This window comes from Homo sapiens, chromosome 3, assembly GCF_000001405.40.
Source record: "Homo sapiens chromosome 3, GRCh38.p14 Primary Assembly".
NCBI lineage: Eukaryota > Metazoa > Chordata > Mammalia > Primates > Hominidae > Homo > Homo sapiens.
In genome coordinates this window covers 94090679-94116696 of record NC_000003.12, presented here as the reverse complement: position 1 = coordinate 94116696, position 26018 = coordinate 94090679, and the positions used below count along the sequence as shown (strand labels likewise).

The following is a 26018-nucleotide window of genomic DNA, read 5'->3' as shown; positions in this document are numbered from 1 at the left end:
CTGTAAAACTATATACAATATCTTCTGTAAATATCTGCATGTATGATAAAACTAGTTAGTATGATAAAACTAGTTAACCACATAGTTAGTTATCCAATAAAAGCTTAATTTAATTATTGTTGCAAGTAAATCATTTAAATGTTAACTTTTAAAAGCATCAGATAGGCAAATCTACTGATAAGCAGTCTATATGCAGGATTCCACAAGAGTTTTCTAAGGAAAACTGGATTGTTTTGTGGTTTCAATACACCAAGGATTCCTTCTCTCACTCCCTCAAAAAATGTTTTGATCTGCGTGTCTGTATTTTAAAGAAATTCTGTAAAATCAATAATAAACGTATTTTTTAAAGGCATTCATTTTGTCTTTCCCAAAGTTTAATGCTTTGCCTTCAAGGATGAAGTTCTCCATCCTTGAAAGGTCTGCTTAGAGGGAAATAGAATCATGCCTCAAAAGCCTTTTAAGAAACTGGCTTAAAACAAGGTGAGAATGTGTTGCTTCTCTAGCACAAGACAGACCACCTTAACATTCCCAGACTAATCTACACAGGCTTCCAACTAAAGGATAGTAAGAAAGGAAAATAAAAGAAAAATTATTACTTGACTTAAATACCTTAAAGAAAAACATGTATTATCTTAATTATAGCATAAGTTCAATGATCTTGAAAAACTAAAATAAAACAAAACAAAACCTAAAATGTCTTAAAACACTGACAGTTATAAAAGTTCCAAAGGAAGGTGTTTCAAAACATAACCAAAATTTAAACCACGATGCAGGATGTCCTATTTTTCCCTTGGCAAATATCTGCGTTTCAAACACAGAATGTTATTTTTATAAATAGCTATTAAAACATCCTAACACTTTTTTAAAAATATAAATTCTCTTTCTCGGATCTATTCTTTTGGTGCTTGATTAGAAAATTTGGCATTCTGATGGGAGGGTCAGTGTTAATTAGATCACTGTATTCAACTGTTTTCTGCATTTAAAAAGGGCTGAGCAGAAAAGAATAATCAGCACAGCAACAGTGCCATCTTTTGACCGAAACGAGAGTGATTTTCCCTCTTTCATTAATTCCTCATGACTTATCACCAGAAGATAAACAAATTCTTTTTATGTCATCGCTAAAACAAGTTTGAAGTCACAATCGCTGTCTCGCCTACAATTTCTGGTACAGAAGTAAAAGAATCATACATGTCTGTGCTCTTGAAAAATTAAGATTACAGCCCCAATATACTATGATTAATATATTTATTCCTCATCTTTATTCATGTCCCTTCCTTCGCCATTAGAGTATCAAGGCAATAGTACCCTTCCGTTGGAAGCAAATATAAGTAAAGGATGCCACAATATTAGCAAGTTTTTCCTTCTCAGAAACTCTAGCATTATACATTTTTTAAAACCAAGTAAGACTGTAGAAATTTAAAAAATTTAAAATAAGCATAGGAACATCGATCCTGCAGTTGGTCCATTGTAACCATTTAATACTCAATTAATATTTCAGAAAGCCTATATGAGACTACCTTATAAAGCTATCTGCAACTTATGTAGAAAAGAAAAACAGTTATATAATTAATAATGTGAAAAATGTATGAAAACTACAGTCTTTTTATCTCACTGCCCAAATGACAGCTTAAGTCCAAAACCAAAAAGGTAAGTTGCTTCCAGAGAACACTGGACACATGTACATATTCCTCCATGAGGAAATTCTTACACTTTCTTTAAACTAGAATAGAGCAGCAAGAAAAAAAAAAGAAAGAAACCATGTCCTTTGCAGCAACATGGATGCAGCTGGAAACCATTATCCTAAGTGAATTAATGTAGGGACAGAAAACCAAGTATCACATGTTCTCAATTATAAATGGGAGCTAAACATTGTGTACTCACGGACATAAAGATGGCAGTAATAGACACTGGGAACTACTAGAAGGGAGAGGGCAGAAGGGGGGTAAGGGTGGAAAAACTATTTGGTGCTATGCTTACTACCCGGATGATGGGATCAATCGTATCCCAAACCTCGGCATCACGCAACACATCCGTGTAACAAACCTGCACATGTACCCCCGAATCTAAAATACAATAAATTATTTAAAAAAATAAGTAAACAAAATAGAAAGAATCTTCCTGAATAAAAGAGAACAGAATGTGGATTTGGTCCAGAAATCAAACAAGATGCTCACTCCTATGTTAACTGAGTGTAGGACATGTGATCAGCTTAATTAATACTACCTTATGTTTACTTGGTGCTCTAGTTAAAGAGCACTTCACAGACAGAGTCTTAATAAAACCTTATGAGGTGAGATGTACAAGGTAAATAGTCTGACAAGATTTATCAAATCGAAGGTCACAAAAAGACTCTGATTTGCCTGAAGTGACACAGCTAATTAAAGCAGCACGAAGACTGCCACTCAAATCTAGTACCGGAAAGAGGACCTCAAGCTTTTACCTCAAGCTATGTGCCCTGAAGCAAATACTATGACTGCTAAAATAAGTTTGGAATTTGAGGCAATGAGACACAGGACACCACATGCATTCATTCTAACATCCCAATTGTCTCAAATACCCATTGAAGGTAAAAAATAACTATATACCTCCAGGCACTTTTAACATAAAGAAAGTAGAATTAATAGGTCTTAAGCAATGACCTGAGAATCTTACCTAGCAGTCCTTTTATAGAGCATACAACCTCCACCTATTAAAGTGCTGCTGTACAGCATTATGATGAGGTGAATGAAAGCACATACTTCACACTGAGACATAATTTGAAACTTTTCATCACAGATTGGCATTTAAATGATAGTTGTGTACAATTTTAACATATTAGACTCAATGTAGAAACTCAAAAGTAGTTAGTCCTTCATTAAAATTCCAAATAATTTGGAATAACTTGGTAGTTATTCCAAGTAACTTGGTAATTCATTTAACAATACTTTGTTTGTATAACTCTAAAAGGTAGATAAAAATACTGTTTTCCTCAGAAGCTTGACTCAGCAAGAAAATAAGTAGACAAACAGCCTGTATTAAAAAGCCTATTTTCAGCCTTCATTTACCTGATTCTGCCATTAATCCTCAACTTCATGAAACTTTCTTCTGATGTGGCTTCCTGGAAGCTATTTTTTCTTTGTTCATCTTCTATTTCTCTGAAGTCCCCCTTTAGCCTCCGCCTCCCCATCTGCCTTTCCTCTTTTTCATATCCCTTAAATATCAGTCTGCCCTAGAACTTTATCCTTCATTTCCTTTTTTACCTGACGTTAAGTGTGTTATATGTTACCTCATTCAATCTTTCAATTAAGTTCTGAGGCATGAATTATTATTCTTACTTTGCAGATGAGAAAACTAAGGCAAGACAGTTATTTGTACAAAATTTCTCTGGAAATGTCCAAACCAGGATTAAAATCCAGGCAATATAGTTCTATAGCTCATACTTTTAATGGCAGTTATCCCCTGCCATTCATTACGTAAGGGCTATGTCAACTACTTCTTGATTATTGTAAAATCTTTCAAACTGGCTTTCTTGCTTAAGAGTTTGGTTATTCTTGGGCCGGGTGCGGTGGCTCACACCTGTAATCCCAGCACTTTGGGAGGCTGAGGTGGGCGGATCATGAGGTCAGGAGATTGAGACCATCCTGGCTAACACAGTGAAACCCTGTCTCTACTAAAAATACAAAAAATTAGCCGGGCATGGTGGCGGGTCCCTGTAGTCCCAGCTACTTGGGAGGCTGAGGCAGGAGAATGGCATGAACCCGGGAGGCAGAACTTGCAGTGAGCCGAGATTGTGCCACTGCACTCCAGCCCGGGCCACAGAGCAAGACTCCGTCTCAAAAAAAAAAGAGTTTTGTTATTCTCTTCACATCTTCCAGCATTACCTGATCAAGGAATTTCCAACTTGTAGCAGACACCTCTAGTTACTCTTCAGTATCTGTTCTCATTTCCTTCCATAGTAATGGGATTTTTAATTGGGCACAGCCAAGGCTAATTTCCTAAACTGCCTTGTAATAACCATAACCATATGACTACGTCTGATCCATGAGATGTGAGTGGAAGTAATGTTGAATTATGCTTTGACTCCTTCCTACTAGTTGCAATGCAGATTAAACAGCAAGAACTGGGATAGCCACCCTGGATTGTGAGGTTGAAGATTAGGCCTGGATCCCTGATGATTCTGGAGTCTGGCCATCTACTGATTACCTAGACAACTCTGGGAAGCCTACTCAGATTCTTATTTAAGTCCCTATTATTTTGAGTCTCTTTCTCTCTCCGTTATATTAGAAGAAAAACTGTCTTAACTAATACTGAATTTGGTACCACGTGGAGTTGTTGTAGCAGAATCTAAGTGAAGAACTGCCTTAATAAACAAGTAACAGAGGGCAAGGTCACAAACACTACAGGTTAGAAAGCCAGTATGATGGCTAGATAATTTATGTTCAACTTGGCTGAACCATGATATTCAGATATTTGGTCAAGTATTATTCTGGGTGTGTCTGTGAGGGTGTTTTTAGATGACAGTAACATCTGAATTGTTAGACTGAGTAAAGCAGATGGCCCTCCATAATGTGGGTGGGCTTCAGTCAGTTGAAGAACTGAATAGAACAAAAGACTGACCTCCCTGGAACAAGATGGAATTCTCCAGCAGATGGCCTTTGCACTTGACCTGCGATGTTGACTCTTCCCTGGGTCTCCAGGCTCTAGCACATCCAGCAAATTTGGGACTTAGCCTTCATAGCTGTATAAGCCAGTTCCTTAAATCTCTCTCTCTCTCTCGATAGAAAGACAGGCAGACAGTGGTCCCATGAGATTATAATGCAGCTGAAAAATTCCTATCATCTAGTATTTACTATACTTTTTATCATTATTTAAGCAGGTCCTCCTTCTTAAAAAAAAAAAAGGTAACTGTAAAACAGCTTCAGACAGATCCTACAGGAGGTTACCAGAAGAAGGTACTGTTATCATAGATGACAGTTCCACACATGCCACTTCCCCTGAAGACCTTCCAGTGGGATAAGACATGGAGGTGGAAGACAGTGATATTGATGATCTTGACCCTGTGCAGGCCTAGGCTAAAGTATGTGTTTGCATCTTAGTTTTTAACAAAAAAGTTTAACAACAACAACAACAAAAAATTAAATTTAAAAATAGAAAAAAACTTATAGAATAAGGATATAAAGAAAGAAAATATTTTTGTACAGCTGTACAATGTTTGTTTTAAGCTTAGTATTAGAAATGTCAAAAAGTTATTAAAAACTTTAAAACTTTATAAAGTAAAAAAGTTACAGTAAGCTAAGGTTAATTTATTACAGAAGAAAGAAAAATATTATTTTATAAATTTAGTGTAGCCTAAGTGTACAGAGTTTATAAACGCTACAGTAGTGTACAGGAATATCCTAGGCCTTCACATTCACTCACCACTCACTCACTGACTCACCCAGAGCAACTTCCAGTCCTGCAAGCTCCCTTCATGGCAAGCTCCTTATACAGGTGTACAATTTTTTTATCTTTTATAGCATATTTTTACTGTACCTTTTCCATTTTGGTATGTTTAGATACACAAATACCACTGTGTTACAACTGCCTACAGTATTCAGTACAGTAACTTGTTGTACAGGTTTATAGCCTAGGAGCAACAGGCTATACCATATAGCCTAGGTGTGTAGTAGTAGGCTGTATCATCTAGGTTTATGTAATCATCTATGTTTGTACTATGATGGCTTCCCAAGGTTGTCCAGGTAATTAGTAGATGGCCAGACTCCAGAATCATCAGGGATCCAGGCCCAATCTTCAACCTCACAATCCAGGGTGGTTATCCCAGTTCTTGCTGTTTAATCTGCATTGCAACTAGTAGGAAGGAGTCAAAGCAGATATACACACACACACACACACACACACACATATATGTATATATGTGCATACATATATATGTGTGTGTATATATATATGCGTGTGTGTGTGTGTGTGTGTGTGTGTGTGTGTATACATGTATATCTCCACTCTTTTTCTCTGGAGAACTCTAATATAGTCAGTGATTCTTACTGTGCCATGCCAAAACATTTAATAAAATCATTGTTTATGATATCGTGGAAGAGAGACTATATACTAACAACATTTACATAACTCTAGGATAACTAGAAGAAAATTGTAACATGTTAGTGTATGTTAATGAGAGAAAGCTCAGGAAAGATCTGAGGGATTTGGATGCTGAGATGGAAGAACACAGCTCTGCTCAGGAATGCTCTCTGTGTGTTGAAATCCAAGCCTACTGAGAATTCAGCAATTTGGGCCTCACAGGGTTGAAAAGATTTTGTAACCCAAAGTTATCACTGATAACTTCCTATCACTGAAAGTTATCACTGATAACTTCCTATCACTGAAAGTTATCACTGATAACTTCCTATCAATGAAAGTTATCACTGATAACTTCCTATCACTGAAAGTTATCACTGATAACTTCCTATCACTGAAAGTTATCACTGATAACTTTCTATCACTGAAAGTTATCTCTAAGGAGGCAGCTCTTCCAGGAATAATACAGTGGCCTCAAGCCTTATTCATGCACTTCTAAGTAAATGTTCTTGTCCAGACAATGGGAGTTAAGCCAAAAGCAAAAATACCACTTTTACACCTGACCCAATAAAAAGGAGCAAACTTTTGAGACACACACTATGAATAAACTTCAAAAATACTATGCTGAGAGAAAAATTCCAGATAAAAGAGTACATGCTATTTCATTACCTTTTTAAGTTTGAGAACAGGCAAAACTAATCTATGGTAAAAAGAAATCAGAAAAATAACTGCTTTTGATGAAGGGAACAATGAATTCTGAAGGCGTACTCAGAATCTTTCTGGGGTAATAAAATGTCATATATCTTGGTAACTTTGCTATGTAATCGTCAAAAACTCCTTGAGCTTAGTGTACACATATATTGTTACACATCCAGTGGCTCAACATGTAGGTAAGGGCAGCAACTGTGCCCACAGCTCCTCCAGGAATCACAGGACCTTCCTTCAGCTCTTCCAAATTCTGGACCAGGTTCCTGTGCAGGTCCATGGTGGAATCCACCAACTTTTCTGCAGATCGCTCACATCATCAAACCGGATGTGCAGAGAAGAGACGTGTTTCATCTTTTGTCTTCGTGGATTCTAGTGTGTCTTTTACTCCCCGCTAACCTCACGTGCTAACTGCCAGCCCTGCTCACTTAAAGCCTACCACCAGAAGCAGTGACGCAATAAAACAGACTACTTAAACAGCTCCCTTAATTAAATAATATCTAATTCCAATAATAAATCTCTTATATCATTTGTGGAGATTTTACTCTGACCAAACTCCGATACATAGCTAGCAATACTTCTGCCCCTTCAAAGCAAGATAGACACTCTTGTGTAATTAACTACCAAATCAAGGAATTAAAATTATTTGCCTCTTCTTTCTAGATGCTCAGAAAGTTCTAATGCTTACACAAATTGCCACAAAAATCATAAAATTTCCTTTTAACTAGGTGAATGAGCTTGTAGTCACTTAGAAAAAAAGTGAATAAAAATGGTCTCTTCACCTAGACCCACTTCAGAGCTCAGTCTTTGAAACTTTCATTGATTCTCCATGGAATTTCTCCCTATTCTGTTTTTCCCAAGGAATAAATTTTTAGCTGCTTGAAAACAGGGTTTGTGTTGCATTCATTTTGTATTTTTTACATACAGCACAACCGGAAACTATATTTTTATAACATATTTATTAAATAAATGAATGGGCTGGGTGCAGTGGCTCACGCCAGTAATCCCAGCACTTTGGGAGGCCGAGTTGGGTGAATCACCTGAGGTCAGGAGTTCGAGACCAGCCTGACCAACATGGTGAAACCCCGTCTCTACTAAATACAAAAAATTAGCCAGGTGTTGTGGTGGGTGCCTATAATCTCAGCTACTTGGGAGGCTGAGGCAGGAGAATTGATGGAACCCGGGAGGCCTCCGCCTTAGTGAGCAGCAAGCTGAGATTGTGCCATTGCACTCCAGCCTGGGCAACAGAGCAAGACTGTGTCTCAAAAAAATAAAATAAAAAGGCCAGGCGCGGTGGCTCACACCTGTAATCCCAGCACTTTGGGAAGCTGAGGTGGGTGGATCACAAGGTCAAGAGATCAAGACCATCCTGGCCCAAATGGTGAAACCCCCATCTCTACTAAAAGTACAAAAACAGCTGGGCATGGTGGCGTGCGCCTGTAGTCCCAGCTACTCGGGAGGCTGAGGCAGGAGAATCACTTGAACCTGAAAGGCGGAGGTTGCAGTGAGCCAAGATCGTGCCACTGCACTCCAGCCTGGCAACAGAGCAAGACTCCGTCTCAAAATAAAATAAAACAAACAAACAAAAAACAAATAAATGCTACCTTTATTAAGAGGCAGGTCAGGAAGAGAATTTTCAGTGTAAAACAAAGAAAATATATTTAATTGAAACTAACAAAAATTCTGAATAGAGTTCTGCACATGTATCACAGAACTTAAAGTATAATAATAAAAAAAAGTAAACGTGGTGAAATGTAAAACAGTTGATGAATCTCTATAAAGAGCACACAGGAGCTCCTTGTACTATTCTTACATTTTTTTCTAAGTTTAAAATTATATCAAAATAAAAATTTTATCAAAAAAAATTCTGAGTAGAGAATAGTTGAAGCAACCTCTAACTTTTATGTTATAGAACAAATGGAAATGATAGAGGCCAGAGGCTTTATCTGAAAAAAAAAAAAAAAAAGGAAAAAAAAAAGCTTTTGCTAACAAGTAATTTATAAAAATGAGAATGGTTTTTCTTCCTGCCAACTGGGTCGTAAATAATAAATTCCTACAGAAAGTAAAATAGCCTGTTAATGAGGGCAGCTACTTAGCAATTGTGGTCTCATTTCTGATTGAGTAGAACAGTTTGGTAACCTTTTTAAAGTAAACTTGACTTTACGGAACATGGCCACTGTTTTAAAATTGAGATATGGTGTCCCCAAAATACCATTAAGACATTTAAAAATGTCAGTTGTCCCTTACACTGCCTTTCTAGTAACAAAAGGGAAACCTAACAGAGTTTGGGAGAGTGGGGCAGGAGACAGTAGACTGTCTGATTTAAAGAAAATTAATCTAGTAAAAAAAAAATTAGCCGGGCATGGTGGCTCACACCTATAATCCCAGCACTTTCAGAGGCCAAGGCAAGAGGATTACTTGAGTACAGGAGTTTGAGACCAGCCTGGGTAACATAGAGAGACCCCTGTTTCTACAAAAAATAAAAAATTAGCCAGGTGTGGTGGCACATGCTGTGGTCCCAGCTACTCAGAAAGCTGAGACAAGAGGATCACTTGGGCCCAGGAGGTCAAGGCGGCATGATCACACCACTGCACTCCTGGACGACAGAGTGAGACTCCACCTCAAAACAAACAACAACAACAAAAACAAAACAACAACAACAAAACATATATATGCCTAATTTGATACAGCAATAGAAATATTTTAATTAGGCCAGGCACAGTGATTCATGCCCGTAATCCCAGAACTTTGGGAGGCCAAGGCAGGCGGATCGCTTGAGCCCAGGAGTTTGAGACCAGCCTGAGCAACATGGCAAAACCTCATTTCTACAAAAAATACAATTAGCTGGTGTATACCTATTGTTCAAACTACTTGGGAGGCTGAGGTGGGAGGACTGCTTGAGCGTGGGAGGTGGCGGTTGCAGTGAGCTGAGATTGTGCCAGTGCACCTGTCTCAAGAAAAAAAAAAAAGTTTTAATTGCTACAATATAATTTAACAAATGGTAAAACCACATCTTTAACCATTTCTTTTCTTCCCTGAAGCATTTTGGGAATTTTTTCTTCATTTACTTTTCCTTTCCATTTCATTTTTTTTAATACTACATTGTTGACTTCTAGTATTCCTTTCCAGTATTTCTGTTTTTGTTCCTTTTCAGCAGTTCCCATTTCTTTCATTTTTCCACTGCCTGTTTCTCATCATTTCACCCTGTTTCTATCAGTTTACTATTTCTGCTGGCAAACAGCAGTCTGGGCAAGAAAGCAAATACAAAAAAAACCCCGACCACTATTATACACTACGACCAAAGAAAACATTAAGGTGAAAAGTTGAAGCTCATGTACAATCTATCAAATAGATGCAGATTTAAAATTAAGTTTCAGGGTACTATAAGAATCTAAAACACAGACATTTCTAGGTTGATAGTTACCTAATGCCGTCATCAGTTTTAAAAGTATTATTTTACAAGCCTGAGGGTAGCCTTCACTGTGCTCACAGTTAAGTAATCAAATTTCTAGATATCACACTGTTTATTATCAAAAGACTTCTGTAAATTCAAGATAAAGAAACATGACCAAGCTTGCCGTTTTCAGAGATACCATACCCAGCGGCTATTCTTTTGTCAGAAACAAAAACAAATGCTGATAATTATCTTCTTTCCACTGACAGTAAGTTTTTACCTTGAAGAAGCAATATTTCTTATAAAGAATATTTCTTTATATTTATATTCAATATTTCTTATAAAGTACTAGTACAACAGAGTAATGACATTAGATTTTTGAAATAGATTATAAATGACAAATTTTAACATATTTATTATTGGTTTCCATTTGGAGACTTCACATTTACTACCTCTTCTTAACAGTTCATTGCCTCATTAATATGAGTATGGAACAGTAGGGATTAAAACTGCTCCACTAAAATTGAACATAAGGATCTCATTTTGTGTTGCTTAGGTGAGCAAAGAGTGACAACAAACCCACATTAGGCCTGCCTAACTTCAAGGTAGGGTCTTTGACCTATCAACCATTGCCTCTTAACTCATACAAATGAAAAAAAAAAAAGAAAAGCCTTCAAGAAAACCACCAGAATTGACCTGATTTTGTCCCATGGCAAATGTGCTTATGAATGGAGATTGCTTATAGTTGATTTTAATGATTTAAAAGGGTTTATTCAAACCGTGTGTGTGTGTGTGTGTATGTGTGTGTGTTAAGAAGAAACTTTCTTCAAGTGAAATTCTACATGCTTAACCGGAAAAAAGATACCCTGCCTCTAGCTAGATTTGGTGTGCCAGACTAAGGGGGTCTCCGGTTCATCCCTATCTATTCCTTCAAGACAGCTCCTCAAGCGATTCCACAGAAACCCTACATCTTTACAGAGCAGAGTTTGAACGCCAATGTCCTAAATAAATCTTTGGAGGAAAAAAAATGACCATCTTTTCCTAAAGAAGTCATTTGACTCCTGCAGTAGCCAGACTAAAAAAGAAATAAAAGCCTACAAAATTTACTAAAGGCATTTTAGTGACTCCATTTAGGTCGATGGCATGGTAAGTTCAAATTCCTGTAGTGAGTGGCAGAATGAGGCCAAATGCCAGGAAAATCTTGCTGACAGAAGAAGAAAGAGTCACAGGGACTCTTAACGGATAGGCTGGATCGTGGTTTTTCAGCCCAAGGTTCAATCCTTTGGATCATAAAAGTCGTTGTTCCCACAGAAAGAAGATTCGGGGGAGGCAAAAAGAACACAGAGCACCAAGAGATAACTAAGAATGCTCAAGTGACAAAGACGCACCTTTTCCCAAAATAGCCAGGTCATCCTCTGCTGCACGCAATGGTCACTCTTTAGAAATCTTGAAAAGTCAGTTCAAATTTTTTAAACTAGAAGAATTTATGTGCTCCCATGTTTCAAATACTTAAATATACTTATTATACTTATTGGCTCAGTTTTGTTTTGTAAAATATCCATTAAAAGCTTTTCAAATTATTAAGAAAAAAAGATGTTAAACTCTTGTTAACATCCGTGGTATTTTACAAATTGAATAAACTATGGTGAGTTAATGAAACGCTTAAAGTATCATCTTATTTTGAAGACTGCTTTCTTCTAACATTAATCCATTGATAATCATTGCTCATCTGGAAAAATTCCATAACTTCCTAATTATTTATTCTCAATTGCTTTCTTCTATGTTTGCTCTCTTGTGTCTACCCTCTATGTGTAATAATCTTTCTAAAATAAATGTAATTATTTGATTTCATTATTAGAAATACTTCAGTAGCTCTCCACTGTATATATAACTGTTGTGCTAAATTATGGAATAAGCTATCCCCTCATCCTCTTAATCATGTTTCCATGCCAAGCATGTAAGGGGCAAGGCTTTTATTTTCTGTCTAATAGCTGGTTGGAAGAGTTGATTGAATCCCAAGATTTAGACGTGGGACTGGAATAAAAAGCTTGCAACTGGGACTCAGGTCCAAATCATGCCCCTCAATTCAGCCTCATCACAGAGGCCTGGTTGGGGTTCAGGAGTGAGCTAACATAAAAGATCAAATTGTCAAATCAGATTCACACAGACCAGAGACCTTATCCACTATCAAGCTTTACTATTTAATAATAATTTTAAGTATACAGGCAATCAAGTGGCACAAGAGAAGCAGAGAAAGGTCTGGGACAGCTGATGTAGCTCCCCAGGTCTTGCTACCAGTATTGGGTATGGGCTTTCTAACTCAGAATAGATGAATTCTCTAAATCATGTTCACAGGTCGCCTCACACAATGGGGAGCATTTAGGTTATGTCACAACATACCTTATGAAGTTGATACGTGGTATCTCTAGGAAGCCATGCCCCATAAATCTATATAGATGCTAGTTTGTATTTACCATAGGCAATCCTAACCAGGAACATTCTGCTTAAAGCATGCCATAAATAAGAACTATCCTCTTAGCAAAACTCATTAGTCTATTTACCAAGGAGGCCAATTATCTACATGTTTATGAGAAGATTTAATTGGGTCACCTGCCTTCTTTCTTTCCTTAGGAGTATCCCCCTGGAAATCAAAACAGAAATGGATCACAGGCCAGCTGCTATAACTCCTTCCCAAAGAGTTACCAGGCTCTTGCCTGGAACTTTAAAAAGTTGATCTTTTAATCTCCTTTAGGATACATTTTTGTACTATTTCTTGCATTAATCAGATCGTGTAAGGAAAGGAGAGTTTTAGATATTCCTAACTACCTGAATAAATGAAGGAATGGCATGTTTTCAAAGACTATTGAATAATTGAAATGTTCATGATAAACTAAGTGGAAAAAGATATCAATTGTATATCATTATGATTCCTATTACTCTACATACTATAGCAGCCAAGGGTAATAAATAAATAAATTACTCTACATAGTATATATATATAAATTACTCTACATACTATAGCAGCCAAGGGTAATAAATAAATCAATAAATATATGTATCTTAGCTCCAGTATATTATACTCTATTGTATATTATTATACTATTGTATAATAATATTGTGTATTAAACAAATCTCTTTAGTTTAAATATTTACCTGTTGCTTATTTTGTACTCCATTGTTAACAAGAATAAAGTTAGGCATCCTTCCCTCTATTCCCCCAGCACCCTAACTGTTCTCTCTATTATAGGTCTTACCACATTTTACGATAACTGGCCTGAGGACCTTGAGAACAAGAATCATTTCCATATTTTAAAATCTGCAATGCTTAGCTAAGTTCCCAGTACAAAGTAGGTAATGTTAGGCCAGGCATGGTGGCTCATGCCTGCAATCCCAGCACTTTGGGAGGCCAAGGAAGGTGGGTTACCTGAGGTTGGGAGTTTGAAACCAGCCAGGCCAACATGGTAAAACCCCATCTCTGCTAAAAATACAAAAAGTAGCCAGGTATGGTGGCAGACACCTGTAATCCCAGCTACTCGAGAGGCTGAGGCATGAGAATTGCTTGAATCCAGGAGGCGGAGGTTGCAGTGAGCTGAGATCATGCCACTGCACTCCAGCCTGGGCAACAGAGTGAGACTCTCTCTCAAAATAAATAAATAAATAAATAAATAAATTTTAAAAAGTAGATAATGTAAATAAATTAATAAATGCTGATAACATCTTATTTTCAAGATTGTATTCATATTGTCAATATATATTTGACACATTTTTTATGAAAGAAAATATAATAGTTACAAATTATAGCTTTGGATGGCTCCTCAATCTTTTATCATTTCATTGAATGTGTAATACTTTGATCAGTAAACTCTTGTTAAAAAGAAGTGTGTACTTTCTGCAAACAAATTGCACATTTTAAATTTCATAACCTCTGACTACTGCCACCTAAACTTAAAGAAAAAAGAAACAAGATGAAGAATACAGAGGAGAAAGAACAGAAAGAGGAAGAAAATAATTATTAGTAGTAATTGTAGTAGTTAATAGTAGTTTGCTTTTGTTTTCTGGATTCCAAACATATGACTAAGCATACGATGACAGTATGCGACATGAACTGAATTATTAAAACTTTAAAAAGAAAACATATACATAGCTGAAGCAGTGGTGGAAATCTTCCATTCTGATAGCCCCATATATTCAAATATTATTTTTCCAATATAAACACATCAATTTTTTGGTCACTGTGTTGATGAATGATGAAGGCCATGCTGCACAGTCAACTAGGTATTCCTTATCTTAGCTCCAGTGCATCAGAGAATAGATGTTAGTGTTTTTTTTTTTTTTTTTTTTTTTAACGTTTCTTTCAAAACACAATTCTTGCTGTCAGAGTGCCACTTTTTAAGGATTGTTATCTGGATGATTTATACAAATTTTCAAAACGTTACCGAATAATCTAAGCTTCCTTTTTCAATGAGCTCACAAATTGGATTTTACTTGTCAAGTAGTGAGAAAAGAAAACCAGAAGGGGTCAGTATTTTAAATGTGATTCATTTTCTCCTAGGAAACGAATGACATGATACATTACTGCAATAAGTTACCTTTATTTTTGTTATAAATCATATTCTTCAGTTAGTGCTTTCCCACCTAAAAATCATGTAAACTTCTCTTATACAAATATCATAGTCACTTTCTAAAGACTACATGTATTTCATTTTCAGTATATTTTCCCACTTTATTTTTCGTAATACATTTAAATACAAATGAGGCAAAAGAATTTGATTATATAGTATGAACAACATAGCATGTAACAGGAATGACTGGCTCAAAAATTATTTTGAGAAATGATAATAAAGGCATACTTTTAAGTGGCATTCCATTCATAGAACTGCTTTATGTTCAATTATTCCTTTTATCCTTGCCCCTCATTCTCATCTCCTGAAAATAGCTTTGGGACAGATGTGTGAGAAAATTTTATGTAACTTTTATCTTTGTGTTCTGTAAATTCAATAGAAAATTCTAATTCTTCTACCTCTATATGGATAAATCAAAGAGTCTTTAAGTATACAAAGAACTCATATTGTTTTGAGATCTTTCTCCTGTCATCATTGTGCCTTCCAATAAGTTTTTCATGTTAAAAAAAACCAGAAAACTAGTTACATTACTATTTTTATCATTATATATACTGTTATATGTACATTAATTTTAAAAAATTTTAAGGAGTATTACATATCTACTAACAGTTTAAAAAAAAAATTTAACATCAGTGCTGGGCACAGTGGCTCGTGCTTATGGTCTCAGCACTTGGGAGGCCAAAGAGTCAGGATCACTTGGAGCCAGGAGTTCGAGACCAGCCTGGGGAATACAGTGAGACACTGTCTCTAGAAAAGAATTTAAAAATTAGGCAAGTGTGGTAGCATGCATCTGTAGTATCAGCTGTTCAGGAGGCTTAGGTGAGAGGATCACTTGAGCCCAGGAGATTGAGGCTGCAGTGAGTTATGATCGCACCACTGCTGCGCTTTAGCCTGGGAGACAGAGCAAGACCCTCTCTCTAAAATATTTTTTTAAATAAAAATAAAAAAAAAATTAACATAAAAAAACTTTTATCAAATAAGACATTAATTTTCATAAAAATGTGCCAGATTAGTATCGAGTTATAGAGTATATGGTTATAGGACACTGTCTTTCCAAAAGTTGAAATTCTGAACACTGTGTAGACTGCTTATGTAACATAAATATTTCTCATAAAGTGACTGCATGCCTTCACGCAGTCATAAAGGGCATAAATACCTTTTTAAAAACTGAAAAATAATAATTGTAAATATTTATGGAGTATAATGTGATATCTTGGTCTATGTATACATTGTAGAAAGAGTCAATCTAGTTAATTAGCATATCTATCACCCCACCAACTTATCATTCTTTTGTGGTAAGAATACTACAAATCTATTCTTTTAGCAATTTTGAAATATACATAATTAACTGTGGTCACCACATAGTGCGACAGATCATTATAACTTATTCCTTCAGTCTAACCGAGAGTTAGACTTTGATCGATGTCTTACCTTTCCCCATCCTTCCCTTCACCCTCAGCCTCCAGTAACCACCTTTATATGCTATTTCTATGAGATCAACTCTTAGATTCCACACGGAAGTGAGATCATATGGTATCTATCTTTCTGTTTCTGGCTTATTTCACTTAACATAATGCCCTACTGTCCCACCTATGTTGTAGTAAATAACAGAATGTCCTTGCTTTTAAAGGCTGTGTAAGTTCTCACGTGTATAAAGTATCTTTGAGCACCATATCTGTCAACAGACAATGTACATACAAGTCTAGCCTTTGGAAAATAGTACAATCAGAAAGTTTCCCTTATTTACCTCTTCACTATCTTTTCCACTCCTTTTCTCACTTCTGAGTGCCATCTTCTGCTCAAAATATGGGGCCAGACAATATTTGTTTATCTGCATTCCAATTGCTCTTTGTAAATGAAAATAAGGATCTGCAATCAATCCTTCATATGAATGAAACTCATACACATTAATGTTTTTACTCTCTTGCATGCCTGCATTTTAAAACCTTTTATTTCATATTGTGAAATAAAAGGATTGCCTTTTGTTAACGAAAGGTAATGCAATAACTAGCTAGCTGAGGAAAGATTGGAAGACAGGCAAGAGGAAATTCTAGGTAGTGAGATAGTGATAAAATAGAGCTATTCCTGATGATAAAAGTGCTATAGTCTTTTTTTTTTTTCATTTTTTGAAGTCAAGGGCAGGAGATAAGAGAGAGATTGTGTCTGGTATCATCATTTTTTTTCCCCTTATCTTTTTAACCCCAAGACTTGTAGATGTCAGGACTCCGATCATTTTCTCTGCCTATAGCTTGGATATCTTAATCTCTCCCCTTTGTCATCATAATCATATAGCCAAGGGACTAGGAATTTTGGCTGCTTCAAGTCATTCCAAAACCTCTCAGGCAGGCCAGGAAGCAGAGGCAGGGAATGTAGAGCAGCTGCTGAAGGAAAAGAATGGGAGATGGCTGGTGCAACAGCCTTTCCCAATCTCATATGATTACATGAAAACCTACATTCAATGTGATGTCAGTTTTGTGCCCTGCCAATTTGCTACTGAAGTGATGTGCTACTAAAACCATTCCTTTAGGGAAGTAAGATGATGGAAGAGAGGAGTGGCCACTACAGAAGAGCCTTAGTTGCTGGGACATAAGAAGGTGCCTATCTGGGGTTTATGCATGTGAATGATTTTTGCAATGATGATTGAAATGCTATACGATATTAAGAAAAGCTTATTAAATGATTTAAAAAAAACTAAACTCTATAGCCATGTTTTGGCTATGTAAAAGCAATACTAATAAAAATAAATTATGGGAATTGCTTTACATTTATGCCTAATCACCATGCAGCATAATCATTACATCATTATTTTTGTCAGATTAACTGTGCTATCAATTTAATTACAGCTATAAATTCTAAATACTCAACCCGTGTAATATACTGTTTTTAAACAATTACTTAGTCTTTTCTACATGCCAGACACCAAATTATATGGTAGGAATAAAAATAATAAAACAATCCCTGCTCCCATGGGGCTTACAGTCTTGTCAAAAAGAGAGGCACGTACTAGATAATTGAGTAGCAGAGGAACTGACAATAAATGTATCTTTAAGTGAAGGTAAGGACATGAGGACAATATCCACCCCACTCCTAGGAAGTCAGGCAAGGCTTCAGTAAGGAGACGTCAGAGCTGATTCCCGAAGAATCAGTAGAGTTTGCCAGGAGAAAGGGAAGTGTAAATTAGAATAACTCTCAAGGAAAAGGAACAGGAAATGCACTGGCCTCAGAAATGAGACACTGTGTGGACTGTTGAGAAACTGCATGGTTGCAACAAAATGAGTAGGAGTCCTGAGACAATGAGGTTGCTGAAGTAAGAAGGGGCCAGGTCAAAAGAGGACTTGAGTATTACACTAACAGTATGAAGTATTGCAGCTCTTTTAGAATTCGTCTAGCAAATCCTGGTTTTCACTGGAAAATCCCCAAATTAAAAAAACAAACAAACAAACAAAAAGAGTGTGAAATTTTGCTGGTAATGGGGAACCACTGTAGGATTTCCAGAAGGATAATTGACACGAGATTTTCATTTCGGATGTGTCACTCTGGCTTCACTGTGGAGAATCAAGCAGTATGGCTCACAACTGGAGATATGTAGGACAGTTAGAGGCCAGTTAAAATCATTTAGGTGACAATACTGGTGGCTTAGGTTAGGCTATTCAGGATGGAGAGAGTTGGGTGAACTTGAGACACATGTAATAGGTACAACTGAGACGTCTTAGTGATTGATTGAATATATGAGAAAAAGGAAAGTTGAAGATGGGTGTCTGACTTAGGCAAATATATGGTGGCGTGGCATTTACTAAAATCGAGAAGAGAGGGGGAAGAGGCAGGTTGGTGGAATTTCTAGTCTGATTTTTTGTTTTGTCGATTTGGTGAAGATTCTCCTAAGAGAATTAGAAATTATGATTTTTATCTTAATTATTTGAGTTTTAAGTTTCTGGAGATCTCGGATCGGTAATTGAATATGTAGGTCTGAGGCTAAGGAGAAAGATCTAAGCTTAGATTCATATTTGAGAGATAGTCTAAGCTCATGTATTGGGAGATATCAGTTGAAGCCATCAGATAGAGAAAAGGATCAATATCAGTAGGCTAAAGAAACCCAAAATTTGTGGGATGAGCTGATGAGGAGCGAGTTAAATAATATATGAAGAAGGCATAACTGAGAAGTAGGGAGAACCAGGAAAGCCTCTGATCACAAATGTCAAGGGAAGAGAATATTTTAAGAGGGAGCAAGCAGTAAACAAAGTCCAGTGCAGCAGGGAGTATAAACTGGTATAGCCTTTTTGGAGAACAATTCAACACAGCTATTAAAGTATTTGATCCTCAGTTCTACTTCTCAATATTTATTTAATCAAGAAAAATGCTAGCAGACCTGTCGGATGAGACAAATTAAAGAATGGTTTATAAAAGTAAACAAACAAACAAACAATGTAAATATCCAGAAATAGAGGATTAAAGGATTAAAAAGGAATACAATAGATCCTCTTGAATGTTTCACGTAAGTTAAAGAGAACAAAGTAGATCTACATGGAAAAGACTTAAGAAATATTTGGTTAAAAAAAAAAAAGACCATGTAACAGAAGAATATACATATCATGATAAAAGTTATTTTAAAATGTATTTCACTACATGCAGATACTAATCCAACAGTTAACTCTGAGAAGAAAGCTGATATTTGGTTGGGCATGTGGCCAACAGGGCCTTTTGCTTCATTTGTATTATTTGATTTATTTTTTTACAATGAAAATGGTTTCATGTGTTACCTGTATAATTAAAAATGTTTTAAAAATTCTAAAAATTTTAAAAATTAATAGTTCTTTAATAAGAATAGGTTTGGAAGAATAAAGGAAACAGACGATAAAATATAATTAATTGAGACAAAATGGGAGGAAAAACAGTAGACAGAATATATCACAGAAAACCTGGTAATAGAAAGAAAAGGAAGTCAGAGGCAGATCTGTCAGGAGACAGAGAAGAAAAATAATATTCTCAGAAAGCCTGTTTGCTTACTTATGGTTTTAAAAAATGTAGATTACAATGTTAATAAGCCATCACAAGATTTGGTATCTGTTACAGGTGTAAGGAATAACAATGGCAAGGCTGGTGTAGCAGGAATAATTAAGAAACTGAGGCTGGGGGATGCTGCCTCATGCCTGTAATACCAGCAGTTTGGGAGGCCAAGGCGGGCAGATCACTTGAGGTCAGGAGTTCGAGACCAGCCTGGTCAACATGGTGAAACCCCCGTCTCTACTAAAAATACAAAAATTAGCCAGGCATGGTTGTGGGCACCTATAATCCCAGCCACTTGGGGGGCTGAGGCATGAGAATCGCTTGAACCCAGGAGGTAGATGTTGGAGTGAGCGGGGATCACACCACTGCACTACAGTCTGGGTGACAGAGTAAGACTCTATCTCAAAAAACAAACAAACAAACACACAAAAAAACAAAGAAGCCAAATCAAAACAGCTTAGGTGAGAAAAATGATTTAGAGAAGGGTCTAGGTCATCTCAAAGCTAATAACCCAAAGGCTAAAAGGGAACGGTGGTATAAAGTTTTCAAAATATCTTAGTGTTACATGAAAGGTGGACATCAGAAGTATACAAACAAATAGTCTAACTGCTGAAATGTTCAGAAAAGCCTTCTGATAAGTACTACCAAGAATCACCATAATCAGCTGAGACGTAATCTGATACAAGGCTATGTATTAGTATTGGTTATAATATTTAGGTAATGGTATATGTTTATTGTTGTGTATCAGTCAGAAGTTGGAAATGCATACTGTCATTCACTGTCTTTCTACGTGCAAGAGGTAATGAGTGATTAAGGCACCATTTAATTGTATTTTAAATATTATAGATAATTTTGCTTTAGTGGCCAGGCGTGGTGGCTCACGCCTGTAATCCCAGCACTTTGTGAGGCCAAGGTGGGCAGATTACGAGGTCAGGAGTTCAAGACCAGCCTGACCAACACAGTGAAATCCTATCTCTACTAAAAATACAAAAAAAAAAAAAAAAAAATTAGCTAGGCTTGGTGGCGCACACCTGTAATCCTAACTACTCAGGAGGCTGAGGCAGGAGAATAGCTTGAACTTGGGAGGTGGACGTTGCAGTGAGCCGAGATTGCACCACTGCACTCCAGCCTGGGCGACAGAGTGAGACTCTGTCTCAAAAACAAACAAACAAACAAACAAAAAAATTTGGTTTAGCATTAAACAAGAGAATTACATGGGAGTAGGGCATATGTCAAAATCGCTGTTGGAACCCGAACAATAATGTTTCAAAATGGCTGTGTTCTTAATGAAACCAAATGTTCAGTGGCCAGGTCCTTCTGGAAAATTCTCAGAGGGGAGATAAGCGCTAACAACCAGCTACAACTTGCTAGGGGCTGATTCATCCAGAACAATAACAAAACATGCATCCTGATTCAAAGCTATTCCTAAGGGGCTGCTCAGATTCTGGTAAAAGAAACAGGGCTATGAACCCCCAGGGTTGGGTCCCAGTGAGCAAACAACTTTGAACTACAGTAAAATTGCCTATGCCCTTTAAAAGACAATGCACAGCAATACTACACATCACTGGGGGTGGAGGGAGGGGCGGTGAGCATTACAGTATGAGCGATAAAGGGGAAGAAGTTGGGAATTTTTTGAGTGTAGCCTTTGGAGGAATAATCATTGACACCTACACAGCAAGCCCTCCACTGGGGGCCTGACATGTTCTATTATGCCTGTGTAAATTACATCAGACACCAAAATACACTTTTGTATTAACAGTCCTTACCTTAACAGCTCTATCTGTAGAAGAGGCAAATTCCTCCTTTGACTTATCCTACAGGATGCCTTCTGAGAGTCAGAAGAAAACAACCAGCTTCGATCATTTGAACACGGAGCATCCACTAACACCTAGAGAAAAAAAAGACAAGTGATGCAAATATGCACTGACAATCTATTCTCAGGCACGAAGTAGATAGAGAAGTTCTCTAAAACATGGTAAACAAATAGGAAATAAGTAAAAACATTTCTTTTTTAACTGAAAATACACCACAGTAGGTTTTTCCTTATGACATTTCCTCACTAACACTTTTCAGAAAAACTTACCATGTACTTTCAGTGTTTGTTTTTGGGGGCTTAGGATGGGAGAATTAAAGTTTACTAGGTCTACTAATGCTATTTGATATCCTTGACAACCACAGCAAAAATTTTTACAAAAGTTACTCATTGTAATCAGACATTAATAATATTTCTGAATTCTCAGCACTTATTTCTAAGAACTAATATTTCAACTTCAGCTTACTGAAATAACCTCTTTTTCTTCAACTGTCATACTCTGATATGAAATGTTACTGAATTAAAGCAATACAGTACTGACCCAAATAATATCCGATCTTTTCCTGAGTATCTTTGAGTTACCTGCCAATATAAAACATTCTATAATCCTCAATCCCAATGTTACTGCTTCCTTTGAACCATGCTGACCATCAAATGAAAACTGCTTCCATGTTCACTTTATCAAAATTTTCCAGGGTACTGAGAAACTGTATCAGGCTATGTCTGAGAACAGATGGAAAATAACAACCACAAAGCAACATAATAGTGGTATTACTGGGCGTCCATCAGTTTGTCACAATGTAATAAAAGTACCTTGTCAAACATTTCAGGCTGGGCATCTCCCATTTTTCTGCCATCCAATTCAGACACTTTAATTACATTTATCAAAGGCTGTGGGATGAAAGATTCCAACGTCTGCCTTAGCCACCTCAATCTCAGACTATCATATTCATTACAATGAAGATAACCTAAATAAAAAGGATTAAAAAGTTTCAAATGAAGGCAATGGAACTGTTAAATTTCTACTTTTCAGCAAATAAATTTCAGAAAGAAATTAACTCATCATAATTATGCAGAAATAGGGCTCAGAGGTAAACATTATTATTTTCTTATGCTTTAAAAACAGAAATAAGGTATATGTGTATGTATATATAGATGCACATACCTACTACATAAAACATTTACAACAGTCATGCCTACACAGTCTCTCAGAAGCTCTCAGCATTTGCTCCACCAAGTTTAATTTTATTAGAGGTAAAACCTATAAAAAATTATAAATTCCTAAAGATATGTTATACAACCAATACCTCAGACATGGCTCTCACTCTAAAGAACTAACGCTTAAGAGTAAACACAGGTGGTAATTCAGGTGCAAGAAGATGAAACTCACATTGCGGCAGACGCAGGAACTGTCCTGGCTTAAAAGCTTCCTGTCCCACAGGAACCATTATTCCTTTTAAAAACTCCACAGGCTTTCAGTGTCTCCACAGGGACATGCCCAGTTATAAGAATCACTGCACTCAGAAGACCCAAAGCATGGCACCTCTATCAGGTCTCTAGGGGTTATTTATTCTTTCTCCCAGCCCACATGCAGTTTACCAATCAGGGTCATCTTTATCATAAGCAATCTTGCCTAGATCATAGTGACAATCTCTGTCAGGTTACCAAGGCAACAATACTAGAGAACTAACTGAACATTACAGTTTAACGTAGAAGGGAAAAAACATTGTAAAGCCTTTGCTCAAATACATACATACATACATATACACATACATATATGTATATGTATGTGTATATGTATTTTAACAACTCCACAGGCTTTCAGTGTCTCCACAGGGACATGCCCAGTTACATATTTTTTTTTTTCTGATTGTCATTCCACTGTTAAAAAGTAAAAAAAAAAACTTTTAGTGACTTCCCATCATCCACTGAGTAAAGTTCAAATGCAGAGTCCTTAAATCAAGGTCCATAATAGCCAGACCTCAGGACAATGTTTCCATTTTAATCTCCCACTATTTCCCCAGTATACTCTGTGCTCTACCAAACTTGATGGACTACTCCATTTCCCAAACATACTCAGTACTTCTCTTATTTATCTCACATGAGAGGTGTTTCTGTGTATGGCTTACCTTCTCTACTACGAGGGCTCCATATTTCTTTTCTTTTTTTTTTTTTTTTTTTTTTTTTTGAGATGCAGTCTCGCTCTGTTGCCCAGGCTGAAGTTCAGTGGCATGATCTCGGCTCACTGCAACCTCTGACTCCCAGGTTCAAGCGATTCTCCTGCCTCAGCCTCCCAAGTAGGTGGGATTACAGGTGTGCGTCACCACGTCTGGCTAATTTTTGTATTTTTAAATTTTTGTATTTTTAGTAGAGACGGGGTTTCGCCATGTTGGCCAGGCTGGTCTGGAACTCCTGACCTCAGGTGACCTACCTACCTCGGTCTCCCATCGTGCTGGGATTACAGACATGAGCCACCGTGCCAGGCCCAGGGCTCCATATTTCTATAGGGAAGACACTCAGGAGATGGCATCAATTTTGTTGAGAAGAGGAGTAGAAAATCATCTTAAAGCACATCTGTACAGCTAGTTTTCATGTTTATTTTGGGTGTCTTTTGGAGGACTCACTAATGGAACTTAAATAGGTGTCTAAAAGCCCTCGTCTTAGCTTGAGATCACTAGAAAACAATGTAAGACAGAAGTTCATGGTATGGACAGGGTGCAATTCTAAGGAAGCAAAAGTGAGAGAAAAAAGGAAGTAAATCATGGAAGTAGCATGATAGATACAGGAGGATTTGTAATCAAGCTGCCTAGAGCTTTGGTCAGTCTCTCAGGGCAACTCTACAGTTTGAAATTACAGAGCCTTCTCAGGAACTGGAGGTTAGTGGAGGAAGGAGGAAGAACAATCTGCTGGCTGCTTTTTGTCTCTTTCTCTCATTGGTTAAAGTCCACAACAAGAGCTGGTAACTTCTACCAACTTTGGGGTTGTGTACCTGACCCCTTCAGGCAACTGCTAAAAAAAACCAGACAGTACCCAAGGCCAGGTATTGCAAGCATACAGGTGAGGTGATCTCTGCTTGTCACCTGGCACTCATTGGGAGGCTCTTCAATTTGTGGCAGTGGTAGCATTAGCAGAAGATAACTGCATGAATGGCATGAGCCTTTGCTAGGGTTTCTCCAGTCTCTGGAAACAATTCAAGTGGCTCCAGCCACGAGGTGAGGGATGGGAGTAAAGATGAAGCCAAACATATCTGTAGTGATGCATAAGCTGGGTCCACAAGATAACCCCCAAAGTCACCCCTGCCATTGTTCACCACTGCCTATCAAATACTAAGGGCCTCAGAGAAAAGAGGTCTTACTCACCTTTCATTCAACTTTCCTCTTTTTCTAGTTTAAATGTTTTACATTCTATTTTGACTTTTCTAGTGGTAACCCAAAAGACTTTTAACATGCACGTGTTAAGAAAAATCTAAGCTAAGTCAATTTTCACCAACTTTCCTAAAAGATACAAGAATCTCGTAACACTCTTGCTTTAGATGCTACTGTTATTGTATATCTGGGTTTTCTTTTGACTTACATTTTTGGACACCACAAAACATTATCATGGTCTTATATAGCCAATGATGGTTAGGCACTCCCCACATAATATCCCACCTTTGCTATTCATTTTTTTTCTAACTCCTATCTTCCATCTTGGATGGCTTTCTTTTTTCCTGAAGCATATCCTTCAGAATTGTTGGTGAAAAACTCTTAATCTCTCTCTCTCTTTCTCTATTTTGCTTTTGCTCTTCAGGAGCATTATTGACTGAATATATTTCTGGATTGATAGTCATCTTTTATATTCCTTTGAACTCTCGTTCTCAAGAGTCAACCCTCTGTCCATCGTTCCTTTGAAAGTAAGCTCTCCATTCTTTCTGGTTGCTATTAAGGTCTTCTCTTTATTTTCAGTGTTCTGCAACTTCACTGTAATGATTTCGAAGCATACTTTCTGAGGAGGCAAGAATTGAAGTTGCTGCAGACCCATATGGATTTACCTCCCACTAACACTTTTAGTACACAGGACAGTATCATTATTCCAATTATAATATTGAGAGGAACACGGCATCAAAGTTGAAGACAGGCAGTTTTCCTTGCAGTTATTTGGAGAGGACAATTTCTTCCTGGTTTACCTTATATGGTGGGTATAGCACTTTGAATCCCAGCTTGATGTAAGTGAATCTTCTATTAGATGCTCTACTTGGGTAGGCTCTGGCTTTGTTTTTTATTCCTTCACTCTCATGAAGCAATAAAAAACATGTAAGTTTTTCATGTTAAGAAAATGTTCTTAGGTCAAAAGCCAGCTTCAGTACGTAATTTACCTTCAAGGTTCCCACTGTCTCTTAGGTTTTGGCCACTAAGTATTTAAAGATAATTGATGCATTTAAAAATTTTTG

General features: G+C 37.0%; 1 protein-coding gene across 2 annotated transcripts in view; it reads right to left on the bottom strand.

Annotated features, from left to right (window-relative positions):
* Nucleotides 1-26018, bottom strand: part of NSUN3 (NOP2/Sun RNA methyltransferase 3) — a 68772-nt gene that overhangs the window by 15136 nt on the left and 27618 nt on the right. The window contains exons 4-6 of one of the 2 annotated variants that reach the window (XM_047448684.1): nucleotides 22403-22557; nucleotides 21543-21664; nucleotides 4600-4752 (exon numbers count right to left, since the gene is read on the bottom strand). In XM_047448684.1, coding sequence (XP_047304640.1) covers nucleotides 4680-4752; nucleotides 21543-21664; nucleotides 22403-22557 — 350 coding nt within the window. In that variant the 3' untranslated portion in view covers nucleotides 4600-4679. Of the gene's footprint in view, nucleotides 1-4599; nucleotides 4753-21542; nucleotides 21665-22402; nucleotides 22558-26018 lie in introns of those variants that run through there. The other variant, NM_022072.5, reaches the window with a different exon arrangement.